The sequence below is a fragment of the Homo sapiens genome, chromosome 12 (assembly GCF_000001405.40).
Source record: "Homo sapiens chromosome 12, GRCh38.p14 Primary Assembly".
Taxonomy (NCBI): domain Eukaryota; kingdom Metazoa; phylum Chordata; class Mammalia; order Primates; family Hominidae; genus Homo; species Homo sapiens.
The window spans coordinates 110,256,805-110,270,144 of NC_000012.12; the positions used below are offsets into that span (position 1 = coordinate 110,256,805).

Below are 13,340 nucleotides of genomic sequence, written 5' to 3' on the forward strand. Positions count from 1 at the left end.
GTCCCTGTGGCCCCTCCTTCCTCCCTCTCACCCGCAACCACACTGTGTGGCTCTTGCAGAATTGCCCCATCTCAGAGGAAAGGTCAGAGATTGAGATTTCCCTTAAACGGAAGCTCAAATGTGCACTGTCAAGCTGTCCTGGAGATAGTACAGTTTTATTCAGGAAGTACCAAACCAAGCCAGCCGGCCCATGCCCTCTGCTTTCTCTTCTCAGGACACTTACATTCCTTTTTTCCTCAAGGGAGGTGAGAGTGGGACGGGGGCCAGAAGAAGAAACTCGCTTTCCCGTGAGGCTTGTGGCAGAGGCGGCGTGGCCTTCCCTGCTGAGCTTCTGACTGGGCTCCCCTGACTGAGGAGCCCTGGAGTCCTTGGAGCCAGCGAGGAATGCACTTTCATCTCTAGGAGGCTACACAATCACCTTTGTGTGCCTGGAGCATCAAGAGGGCAGAAGGTGTAGTCCCCGAGCTGAGGAGAAGCAGGTGCTGGCCAGTTAGTCACTGCACCCTCACTGCTGGCCCCAGCTGTAAGGCTTCTCTCCAGGGACTCTCTCCAGGGCCAAACTCGCTTCTAGGGACTCTCTCCAGGGCCAAACTTGCTCCCGTTTCCCTGCTTCCTCCACTTAAGATTTTTCTTTCTCTTGGATCTTTGGCCCACATACTGGACATTCAGTTCTGTCACCCAGGCTGGAATGCAGTGGTGTGATCTCAGCTCACTGCAGCCTCCGCCTCTTGGGTTCAAGCTATTCTCGTCCCTCAGCCTCCCAAGTAGCTGGGATTACAGGCGTGCACCACACCTGGCTAATTTTTGTATTTTTAGTAGACACAAGGTTTCACATTGTTGGCTAGGCGGGTCTTGAACTCCTGGCCTCAGGTGATCCACCCACCTCAGCCTTCTAAAGTGCTGGGATTACAGGCATGAGCCACCTCGCCCAGCCTGGACATTCAGTTCTATCAGGTCTTCCCTGAGTGGAGGCAGAGGGGACTTCAAATCCTCCCTGCAGGTTGGGCAAATGGAGAAGGTGGAAGCCCAGCCTCAGGAATGGACAGGAGAACCTTTCCTCAGCCCCTGGACATGACTCCTGAGTGTCTTACAGCAGGATCGTGTTTTCAACTCTGTCCTCTACTGAGTCCCCTTTCAAGAGGCCCCCTTCCATTCTTGTGGGATGTCCCAGCCCAAGGTGGGGTGGGTGTTCCACTCCATGAGAAGGTTGGCCATTTGAAGGGACAGGAATGATGAGGTGCAGCAGGAAGCTAAAGGTGGCCCTCCACTTTTGCTGACAGAGCTTCAGTGGCCTCAAAGCATCAGCCGGGTGCGGTGACTCACGCCTGTAATCCGAGCACTTTGGGAAGCTGAGGCGCGTGGATCACGAGGTCAGGGGTTCCAGACCAGCCTGATCAACTTGGTGAAACCCCATCTCTACTAAAAATACAAAAATTAGATGGGCGTGGTGGCACATGCCTGTAATCTCAGCTACTCAGGAGGTTGAGGCAGGAGAATTGCTTGAACCCAGGAGGTGGAGGTTGCACTGATCCGAGATTACACCATTGCACTCCAGCCTGGGCAACATGAGTGAAACTCCGTCTCAAAAAAAAAAAAAAAAAAAAGACAAGCATCCAAGGACATTTGCCGGGTAGAGAAGCAGCTAGGATTAGAGAAACAGAGATGTAGAAGCCCTTTCAGGGTCAGAACGAGATAAACGTGGGCTGCAGGCCACGTGAGTGAGCACCCACGGTGCTGTTGAATTTAGAGGTGGGCTACAACAGACCCGAGGCCCCCAGGAAGGCTTCACAGAGACAACCCCTTGAGGTGAGCCTTGAAGGCAAGATGTAAGACATGAATGGTGGCCTCGCAGAAGCGGATATTCCCTCGAGGGGGTGAGAAACAGGCAACACCACAGAGGTGGGAAGGCAGCTGGCGCATTTGGGAATTGCCAGATCGTTCTAGCTGCTACGGAACACGTGCATAGGGTACCCACCAGGCAGGGCTTTCACCAGAGAAACAGAACCAGTAGGAGATGGAGCTATGTGGCAAGAGATTTACTGCAAAGAATTGGCTTATGTGATTGTAGGGGCTGGCTAGGAAAATTCTAAATCCTTGGGGCAGGCCATTAGGAAGGGCAGACTCGAAACTCAGCCAGGACCTGAAGCAGCCGTTCACAGGGGGAATTTCTTCTTTGGGGAAGCCTCAGCCTTGTTCTTATAGTCATTTAACTGATTGAATCAGGCCCACCCAGGACATCTCAAATCATTAACTTAAAGTCAACTTTTTATTATTTTTTTTTAGACAAGGTCTTGCCCTGTCACTTAGGCTGGAGTGCAGTGGCACAATCATGTCTCACTGCAGCCTCAATCTCCTGGCCTCAAATGATCCTTCCACCTCAGCCTCCTGAGTAGCTGGGATTACAGGTGCGCACCACCACACCTGGCTAATTCTTGTATTTTTTGTAGAAATGGGGTTTCACCATGTTGCTCAGGTTGGTCTCCAACTCCTGGGCTCAAGCGATCTTCCTGCCTCGGCCTCCCAAAGTGCTGGGATTACAGGTGTGAGGCACTGTGCCCAGCCTAACATCAACTGATTATGAATGTTAATCATATCTACAAAATACCTACACAGCAACAACTAGAGTAGCATTTGATTGAATAACTGGAGACTATAGCTTAGCCAAGTTGACACACAAAACCGACCATCACAAGTACCAATCAGAAAGGACAGAGGAGAGCGAGAATGGGATCAACAGTGTTTTCCAAAATGTGAAATCCTGCTACTAGAGGTCTGTGAGAAGATGGCACACTCGGTGACTGTTGGAGATACAGGAGCTTGGTGTTAAGATAACACTGATTTGAGAAAGGAAAAGACAACTCCTGTTTAAACCCTCTCTCAGCCCTTCTGATTAACTGAGAGAAAGTCCCAGTTTGGTGCTGGCTTGACTTTTTTAACATCTCTAAACTTGTAGATAACCTCCCTTTTTTAGCAAAATGAGAAGCTGGTAGTCACCAGCATTGGGCAGTATTTATAAATAAGAACATTTTCACCGTATTTATGCATTTATTTATTTATTTTCACAATTTTCTACACACGGCAAGTAATCCTGGTTTTCTTTTTTCATAATTAAATATTTCCTTTTAAAATATATTTATGGCCGGGCATGGTGGCTCACACCTGTAATCCCAATACTTTGGGAGGCCGAGCCTGGTGGATCACCCGAGGTCATGAATTCGAGACCAGCCTGGCCAACATGTCGAAACCTCGTCTCTACTAAAAATACAAAAATTAGCTGGGTGTGGTGGTGCTCACCTGTAATCCCAGCTACCCAGAAGGCTGAGGCAGGAGAATTGCTTGAACCTGGGAGGTGGAGGTTGCAGTGAGCCAAGATCATGCCATTGCATTCCAGCCTGGGGACAGAGCAAGACTCTGTCTCAAAAAATATATACAAATAAATAAAATATACTTACTTAGGACAGGGCAAGGTGGCTCATGCCTGTAATCCCAGCACTTTGGGAGGCCAAGGCAGGAGGATCACTTGAGGCCAGGAGTTCAAGACCAGCCTGAACAACTTGGCAAGACCCTGTCTCTATGAAAAATTAGCAAAAATTAGCCAGGTGTGGTGGTGTGCATCTGTAGTCCCAGCTACTTGGGAGGCTGAGGTGGGAGGATTGCTTGAGCCCAGGAGGTAGAGGCTACAGTGAGCCATGATTGCACCACTGCACTCCAGCCTGAGCAACAGAGCAAGATCCAGTCTCAAAAAAAAAAAAAAAAAAAAAAAAAAAAAAAATATATATATATATATATATATATATAAAATAGGTGTATAAATAACAGAAAGATAACACTTGGATACAGCCAAAATCATGTGGCAAGGACACACAGGGAAACAAACTTAGAAAGCCCAGTTACAGTCATGAGGGATGATGTGGGATGACAGCAGAAATGCTCATAACTGCTGAAGCCAGATCATAGTAAATAAGGGTTTATTATACTATTTTTCTCCACTTTTGTTATGTTTGAGGATTTCTATAATAAAAGCTATTTTAAAAAATTAAGACCGGGCGCGGTGGCTCACGCCTATAATCCCAGCACTTTAGGAGGCCGAGGCAGGTGGATCACGAGGTCAGGAGATGAAGACCATCCTGGCTAACACAGTGAAACCCCGTCTCTACTAAAAATACAAAAAAAAATTAGCCGGGTGCGGTGGCGGGCGCCTGTAGTCCCAGCGACTTGAGAGGCTGAGGCAGGAGAATGGTGTGAACCCAGGAGGTGGAGCTTGCAGTGAGCCGAGATCGCGCCACTGCACTCCAGCCTGGACGACAGAGTGAGACACAGTCTCAAAAAAAAAAAAAAAAAAAAAAAAAAAAGCCAGGTGCAATGGGAGGCCGAGGTGGGCAGATCACCTGAGGTTGGGAGTTCGAGACCACCCTGACCAACATGGAGAAACCCTGTCTCTACTAAAAATACAAAATTAGCCAGGTGTGGTGGCACATGTCTGTAATCCCAGCTGCTCGGGAGGCTGAGGCAGGAGAATTGCTTGAACCCAGGAGGCGGAGGTTGCGGTGAGCCGGAGATAGCGCCAATGCACTCCAGCCTGGGCAACAAGAGCGAAACTCCGTCTCAAAAAAAAAAAAAAAAAAATTGGCAGGCTGTGTACACGATAAACCAAAATGGGGGAAAATTAAGGACAAAAAAAGACCCAATAAATTTGTCATTACCTTCCTGTGGAGTCAGATGCTATTATCTTTCCCTATTCCCAAATTATCCAACTGGGTGTCTTTTTGGTAGAGCCTTAGGCTCCAGAGAGGAAAATTAGGTTCATCATGAACCCCCTTTAGGGATGACACCTCATTTTTCCAAGGCTAATTCAAGATAGGTTAGTTAATTGATATAATTGATACAGGTTCCAGCCTGACCATGTTTCTTTATTTCTTTTTTTGAGACAGGGTGTCACTCTGTCGCCCAGGCTAGAGTGCACGGCTCACTGCAGCCTTGACCTCCTGGGCTCAAGCCATCCTCTCACCTCAACCTTCTGAGTAGCTGGGACCACAGGTGTCCACTACCACACCTGGCTAGGTTCTCATATTTTTTGTTTACTTGGGAGGCTGAGGTGGGAGTATCTCTTGAGCCTGGGAGGTGGAGGTTGCAATGAGCGAGATCGTACCACAGCACTCCAGCCTGAGGTGACAGAGCAAGGCCCTGTCTCAAAAAAGAAGAAAAAAGAAAAGACTGAAACTTTCTGGTCTTTCATGGGGCATAGAGGGAAGATCTGAGCAAGCACTCATCCTTCTGTGACTTGGAAATTGAATCCTGCATGACTTGGGGCCTTTCCCTTTTAAAGCTCAGTGATATTAAATGCTTAGAGCAGGTAACCCTGAGGAGCAGGAGCACTGAGAAGTTTCCACCAAAGGTTTAGATTCCATGCACTTGGGCCTCTAAGAGCCGGTTTTATGCCCTTCAGTGGCCTCAAGAACAGAATGACAGAATGAGGTCGATAGACTCCTTCTGACAGTTACATCTCCCTCCTTGGAAGAAAGAGGAGGAAAATAACAAGTAGCAATGCTTCCCAATTTTAGGAAGTGAAAAATAATGGCCAAGCACAGGTGGCTCACATCTGTAATCCCAGCACTTTGGGAAGCCGAGGCAGGAGGATCGCTTGAGCCCAGGAATTCAAGACCTGCCTGGGTAACATAGTGAGACCCTGTCTCTACACAAAATTTTTAAAAATTAGCTGGGCATGATGGCGCATGCCTTTAGTCCCAGCTACTTGAGAGGCTTCGATAAGAAGATCGCTTGAGCCCAGGAGGTGAGAGGCTTCGATAAGATCGCTTGAGCCTAGGAGGTCAAGGCAGCAGTGAGCTATAATTGCACCACTGCACTCCAGCCTGAGCGACAGACTGAGACTCGGTCTCAAAAAAAAAAAATTACTATTCATCCTAAAAGAAAGAAATCCTGTCATCTGCTAAAACATGGATAAACCTTAAGGACATTTGGCTAAGTGAAGTAAGATAATCACAAAAGAACAAATACAGATACTGCATGATTCCACTTATGTAAGGTATGTAAAGTAGTCAGACTCTTAGAAACAAAGTAGTATGGTGGTTGCCAGGGAACCAAGGGAGGGGGCAATGGGGAGTTGTTCAATGGATATACAGTTTCAATTTTGCAAGATGGAAAAGTTCCAGAGATCAGTTGCGCAAGGTGCGTATAGTTAACACTACTGTACTACTGTACACTTAAACATGGTTAAGATAGTAAATTTTATGCTACGTTTTTGACCACAAAAGAAAAAAGGAGGTGAATCGAATTACACATGTGCCAAGGGCTGGCTCGGTAATGAATCTTGGGGTGGAACCCTGTTTGTTGTGCAGGTGTACCCCACATGCGTGGCTCGGCAGGCTCCCCTGCCAAACCTCACCAGTCCACCTGGTCCACCTGGAACAGATTATCTGAAAATCTCGAAGCACCATCTTCACACATATTGGCCATTTTCCATGATACCCCAAACGGATTTTGTTCTTCAGAACTTTTGCAAATCAGTTATGCACTTCAACTCTCCAATAATAATGACAAAATTAGTAACTAGTATTTACTGAAAACTTATTCCAAAGGAATTACATCATATATGAGTAAGGTGAAAATTAACTGTAGTCAAACAACCTTTGAAAGTACCTTAAATTGCCAACAAAATACAACATACATGATCTAGTGTGAACCGCAGCCCTATACAGTAATTCCCAAGCAAACTTAAAGCTTTAGAATGATTGAGGTAGCTCAGAGCAAAAACCAAAAGGAAAGGTGATATGTAGATGTCTGGGCACTCACATCATTCTATCTTTAAGATAACAGAAATATTTTAAATGGGGAATCTGGGAGAGGGGTGGCTGAGTGAAAAATTTCTGCTGACCTGCAGGTTTTACTAAATTCTCTTTTAATATTAAAGCTCTATCAAAAGTCTGACAATTGACCGGCTGCAGTGGCTCACGCCTGTAATCCCAGCACTTTGGGAGGCCGAGGCGGGCAGATCACTTGAGGTCAGGAGTTCGAGACCAGCCTGGCCAACATGGTGAAACCCCGTCTCTACTAAAAATACAAAAATTAGGTGGGCTTGGTGGCGGTGCCTGTAATCCCAGCTACTTGGGAGGCTGAGGCAGGAGAATTGCTTGAACCTGGGAGGCGGAGGTTGCAGTGAGCTGAGATTGCACCACGGCACTCCATCCTGGGCGTCAGAGTGAGACTCGGTCTCAAAAAAAAAAAAAAAGGAAAGGTAGTATGAATGTCTGGGCATTCATACCATTCTATCTTTAAGGTAACAGAAATACTCCAAATGGGGTTTCGGGAAGAGGAGTGGCTGAGTGAAAAATTTCTGCTGACCTGCAGGTTTTACTCAATTCTCTTTTAATATTAAAGCTCTATCAAAAGTCTGACAATTGGCCAGGTGCTGTGGCTCATGCCTGTAATCTCAGTGCTTTGGGAAGGCGAGGCGGGCAGATCACCTGAGGTCAGGAGTTCAAGACCAGCCTGGCCAACATGAAACCTCGTCCCTACTAAAAACACAAAAATTAGCCAGGTGTGGTGTTGCACGCCTGTAATCCCAGCTACTTGGGAGGCTGAGGCAGGAGACTCGCTTGAACGCGGGAGGTGGAGGTTTCAGTGAGCCGAGATCGCGCCACTGCACTCCAGCCTGGGTGACACAGTGAGACTCCATCTCAAAAAAAAAAAAAAAGTCTGGCAGTTGAGGCCAGGCATGATGACTCAAATCTGTAATTCCAGCACCTTGAGAGGCCAAGATGGGAGGATCACTTGAGCGCAAGAGTTCAAGACCAGCCTGGGCAATATAGAGAGACCCCCTCCCCACAACGCTGCCATTCTACAAAATATTTTAAAAATTTAGCTGGGCATGGTGCTGTGCATCTGTGGTCCCAGCTACTCAGGAGGCTGAGGTGAAACAATTGCTTGAGCCCCGGAGTTCGAGGCTGCAGTGAGCCATGATCACGCCACTGCACTCCAGACTGGGTGACAGAGCAAGACCCTGTTTCAAAACAAAACCAAAAAAACTGACAATTGAGAAATGGTCATCAGCCAGTATCCCTGCAGTGCCAGACCCCATGGCAATGCCAGCCTTCACTGTCTTCAACATGGGAACAGCCTTCATGGTAGGAAAGAGAGCCTGGGACCTGATTATCATGTAAAGATAAATTCTCCACAGTGCAGAGCAGACAGGCAATTTACAGGTACCTGTAGCATAAAATTTAACAGCCATAAAAGAAGCTTTATCCATTTTGGAAACGGGGAAAAAAAACAAAGCTGAGTCTTTTGGAGAAGAAAGATAAAGTGAAATTTCATCTTTGATTTTCTCTGGGAAACATTGTAAACTAGTTAAAAGACAGACTGCAGAGGGAAGGAAACAATGAGAATTTCAGCTTTTTCTCTGTCCTTTTACTTGTTTATTTTAAATATATATGTAACTATAAAGCAAGAAAATGGAAGTCACTAGAGTTACATGTATCTACACTTGTATTTTTAGCTTTATATGAATAAACCTACAAAAAAAAAAAAAACCCCAGGCCAGGCGCAGTGGCTCACGCCTGTAATCCCAGTAATCTGGGAGGTCGAAGAAGGCAGATCACTTGAGCTCAGGAGTTCGAGACCAGCCTGAGCAACATGGAGAAGCCCCATCTCTACAAAAAAATGCAAAAATTAGCCGGATGTGGTGGGGCATGCCTGTAATCCCAGCTACTCGGGAGGCTGAGGCGATTGCTTGAGCCTGAGGGGCAGAGGTTGCAGTGAACAGAGATTGCTCATGGGTGATAGAGAAGACTCTGTCTCAAAAAGATAAATAAATAAATAAATAAATAAATAAATAAATAAATAAAAATTTTAAAAAACATAATAGTGAGTAAAACAAAACAAAATGCCGGATATGTACAAAATTTGTAAGTTTTGTGTAAACTATGAAAAATACCAGATAATACAGTTTGCATTGTTTTGTTTTGTTTTTGTTTGTTTTGAGACAGACTCTCGCTCTGTCGCCCAGGCTGGAGTGCAGTGGCACTATCTCGGCTCACTGCAACCTCCACCTCCCAGATTCAAGCAATTCTGCCTCAGTCTTCCGACTAGCTGAGATTACATGCAAGCGCCACCACACTTAGCTAATTTTTGATTTTTTTTGGTAGAGATGGGGTCTCACCATGTTGGCCAGGCTGGTCTCGAACTGCTGACCTCGTGTGATCCACCCACCTCGGCCTCCCAAAGTGCTGGGATTACAGGTGTGAGTCACCACGCCTAGCCCATTGTTGTTTGTGGATATACTTATCTATAGTAAAAATACAAGAATATGCATGAGAATGATAAACCCCAAGTTCAGGATAGAGGTTACCACTGGGAAAGAAAGGTCGAGAATGAGTTTCAAGGAACATACAAGGAACTTCAGTTCTAACAATAATGTTTTATTTCTAAATGGTGCATAGATGAGTGTTTATTATATTATTATTGTACTTTTTTCTGTGCCTGAAATGTGTCTTAGTTTTAAAAACGGGGGTGGCGGGAATTTGAAGCCTCTATACCTTCAATAATGTCTCTGTATCTTCCATAACGTTAATGGATATGTTTGTTGTTACAAGATTAAATCAAATGGTTTACGTTTTAGGAGGGCTGGGCCTTAAGATCAGCCTAAGATGAAGGTGCCTGCAATGTCTCTCTACTAGTGCTGCCAGCCACGTGCAAGGCACATCACATGCACAGTCTCTCATGTAACTCACACGAAAACTACATGAGGTAGATTCAATTATCCACTCTTTATAATTGAGGAAATAGGGACACAGATTAAGTAGCTTGCCTAAGAGCATACAGTATTACCTGGTGCCTGCAATTCTCTGAATTTGTCTCTCCACGTTTTCCAAAAGGTGATGTTTTGAAGACTGTGATAATATTGAATCATGTGACTGGAAAAACAGGGCAAATCACAAGTTAAAACACACCCCCTGTCTAACATGTGCAAAGCCCTCTCTGAGGAGTCTCATTAGCCTGGAGCCTGGTTCTAATGCACTAAGCCCTTTACCTTCCCTCCCCACTGGACCCCCTTTTTAATTGACATTTAATTGCCTGTGGTCAGATCTCCTCCAATCCCTGTGCCTCTGGGCCCCTGATCTTAGGGGACTTGGGGAGCTAGACCTATATTTTCTTGGATTTCCACTGACTTCCCATTAAATTATTATCCCTGGGTACAGTGGACTCCGTGTGCATGTGTTGCTTTATTTCGCCTTTAAAGCATACAGCTTTAATTGGGCAATCACAATGCCTTTCTCCCATTATCGTCAGCAGGGAAGTAAGTAATCAAGCTCCCCATCTTAAAACTTCGGTAAAATGAGGTCAGCAAGATGTGTGGTATTGACATGGCACCCAGCAAAGGAAAATGACTCTTGGTGGCTCACATTGTTGTGGGGCTTGTTTGCGTTGCTGTGCAGTTGTAATGGAAAATGAATAAAAATAAAAATCCCGGGGCCCTTTTTGGCCAGCACTTGGGAAGTTAATCCCACTGTCCTGGCAGAATTCCAGCTCAGGTCACTGCATTCAGCTGGCGGAAGCCTCCTTGTGCAGCTTTCAGTGGAAGGGGAACTCTGCTTTACCACTTTTCTCAGCAACATGTGCTGCAAATTAAGCAGCTGTCCCTTCCCCACCCTGGACAGGGCTGCATTTCGTGACTCAGAATGATCCTCTCTCCCCTTGCCACAGCGGGGAGTAGGGACAGATCTGGGATCAGGAAATTAAACTGGTCCAAGAACCAGTTGAGGAGATATTTGCTATAATAAAAATCTTTGTGGGTCTCTGAGTGCTTCTGCGCAGTCAGAGAATCACAGATTCCTAGCATTAAAAGGTTTTCCAGGAGTCGTCTAGTTTCTTTCTAAAACCCCATGCATACATTCCCTCCATTTGTTTTATAACATTTTATTATGCAAATTTAAAGTGTTTCTATACCTGAAGTACTTAGAAGTTTTCTCTCCCCTCCTCACCTATCTACTTTTTTTTTTTTTTGAAATGGAGTCTTGCTCTGTCACCCAGGCTGGAGTGTAGTGCCGTGATCTCGGCTCACTGCAACCTCCACCTCCCGGGTTCAAATGATTCTCCTGCCTCAGCCTCCCAAGTAGCTGGGATTATGGGCATGTGCCACCAAGCCCCGCTAATTTTTGTATTTTTAGTAGAGACAGGGTTTCGCCATGTTGGCCAGGCTGGTCTCAAACTCCTGACCTCAAGTGATCCACCCACTTTGACCTCCACACCTATATAGTTTTGTTGCTTCTTTTCATTGTTTTACAGACTTTTAAAAAAATGTTTAACACTCTTTCCAATATGAAATGTATTGCATTTCTTTTCTTTTCTTTTTTGAGACAGAGTTTCACTCTTGCTGCCCAAGCAGTGGTGCGATCTCAGCTCACTGCAACCTCTGCCTCCCGGGTTCAAGCGATTCTCCTGCCTCTACAGGCACCTGCCACCATGCCTGCCTGGCTAGTTTTTTGTATTTTTAGTAGAGACGGGGCTTCACTATGTTGGCCAGGCTGGTCTCAAATTCCTGACCTCAGGTGATCCACCCACCTCAGCCTCCCAAAGTTCTGGGATTACAGGCATGAGCCACAGCGCCCAGCCGGATTGCATTTCATGGTGTTAGAAATAGATCCAAGCTAATTCTTCTCCCTACAAATAATCTTCTATTCCCAAAGATGTTTATTGAATAGTGATTTCTAATTTGTGTGACTTAACCTCTCTGAGAATCAACTTTCAGTACCTGGAAAAATAGGAATGATAATGATACGTACCAGACAGGCTTGTCCTAAGGATGCACTAAGACAACATGTGAAAAGGTCCCAGCACATTGCATGCATGGCAAATGCATGTCTATTAAATGGTGTCTTCCTTTTTGTCCCTTCCTTCTTTTGATTTATTTATTTATTTATTTTTATTTTTTGAGACCGAGTCTCGTTGTGTCACCCAGGTTGGAGTGCAGTGGAGCAATCTCAGCTTATTGCCACCTCCACCTCCCGGGCTCAAGCAATTCTCCTGCCTCAGCCCCCCAAGAAACTGGGACTACAGGTGAGCGCCACCACACCCAGCTAATTTTTGTATTTTTAGTAGAGAGAGGGTTTCACCATGTTGGCCACTCTCATCTCAAAGTCCTGATCTCAAGTGATCCGCCCACCTCAGCCTCCCAAAGTGCTGGGATTACAGGTGTGAGCCACCACACCCGGCCTCCTTCCTTCCTTTTTTTTTTTTTTGAGGCAGAGTCTCTGTCACCCAGCCTGGAGTGCAGTGGCATGATCTCTGCTCACTGCAACCTCCGCCTCCCGAGTTTAAGGGATTCTCCTGCCTCAGCCTCCCAAGTAGCTGGGATTACAGGCGCATGCCACCATGCCCAGTTAATTTTTGTATTTTCAGTAGACATGGATTTCACCATGTTGACCAGGCTGGTCTCAAACTGCACTTTACCTCAGGTGATCCGCCCGCCTCAGTCTCCCAAAGTGCTGGGATTACAGGTATAATCCACCGCACCCTGCCTCCTTCCTTCCTTTTTATCTGCACCAGCCTATTTTTTTTCTAGAACCCTTTTATGTACCAATGAAATCAAGCCTTGCTGGAATGGTCGGTTGTCTACCCCTAGTTTTATACTGGGAGGCTACTAAGAAGAACGGTTGGGGGAGGACAGGAAGGTGAAGGCGCTTTCTGGAAAAGACCCATCCTAATGATACATGTGCTATGACTGCAGCCCCCTCTCTCCCCTCAGGTCAGAGAATCCTCTTAGAGGCTGTTCTGTGGTCTCAGAATGCTCCCTGCCCCCAAGTTGCCATGTCAGATGTTTGAGGGAAATCTGATTTCTGAGGACAGAGCTCTAGGTGTGGGTTGTTTTATTTTGGGGATGGGGTGGGGGTAGGAGTTGGCCATGGGTTTGCTGCATTCCAGGAAGAGGGAGGACTGCTCTCCTCCGATGAGTCATGGAAGAGAAACGTCTAATGTTTGCAAACGTCTCCAGCCAAGCCTCTGCTTTCTTAGACTCCTCCCATCCCCCATCCATGCAGATTGGACCCCCGTGAGAAGATTTAAATGTTAAGGTTGAAGGCCAAAGAGGCCATGGCTCTACTGGTTGAGATGGGAAGCAGCTAACAGAACGGGAACGATTGTCCAGTACCTCTAGACTCCAGCTTGCAAGACACGGGACAGGACCTTATAATAGGTGTATCTGTCTCCCAAATCAGGACATACTCTGGGTGGTGCAGGAGGATCAGGTGAAAGAACTGGATTTTCACAGGGGCCCTGCCATCTGCAGAGGGCCTCCAATCAACACGGCATCTGCAGAGGGCTGGGAG

General features: G+C 46.2%; 2 annotated features.

The window, feature by feature from the left end:
- Positions 482-1,074: an enhancer, noted in NCBI's record as "H3K27ac-H3K4me1 hESC enhancer chr12:110695091-110695683 (GRCh37/hg19 assembly coordinates)". NCBI's record gives its function as "activates a minimal SCP1, AML or CMV promoter by ChIP-STARR-seq in primed H9 embryonic stem cells {active_cell/tissue: H9 hESC(primed)}" and the evidence as "EXISTENCE:reporter gene assay evidence [ECO:0000049][PMID:30033119]".
- Positions 12,296-12,898: an enhancer, noted in NCBI's record as "H3K27ac-H3K4me1 hESC enhancer chr12:110706905-110707507 (GRCh37/hg19 assembly coordinates)". NCBI's record gives its function as "activates a minimal SCP1, AML or CMV promoter by ChIP-STARR-seq in naive H9 embryonic stem cells {active_cell/tissue: H9 hESC(naive)}" and the evidence as "EXISTENCE:reporter gene assay evidence [ECO:0000049][PMID:30033119]".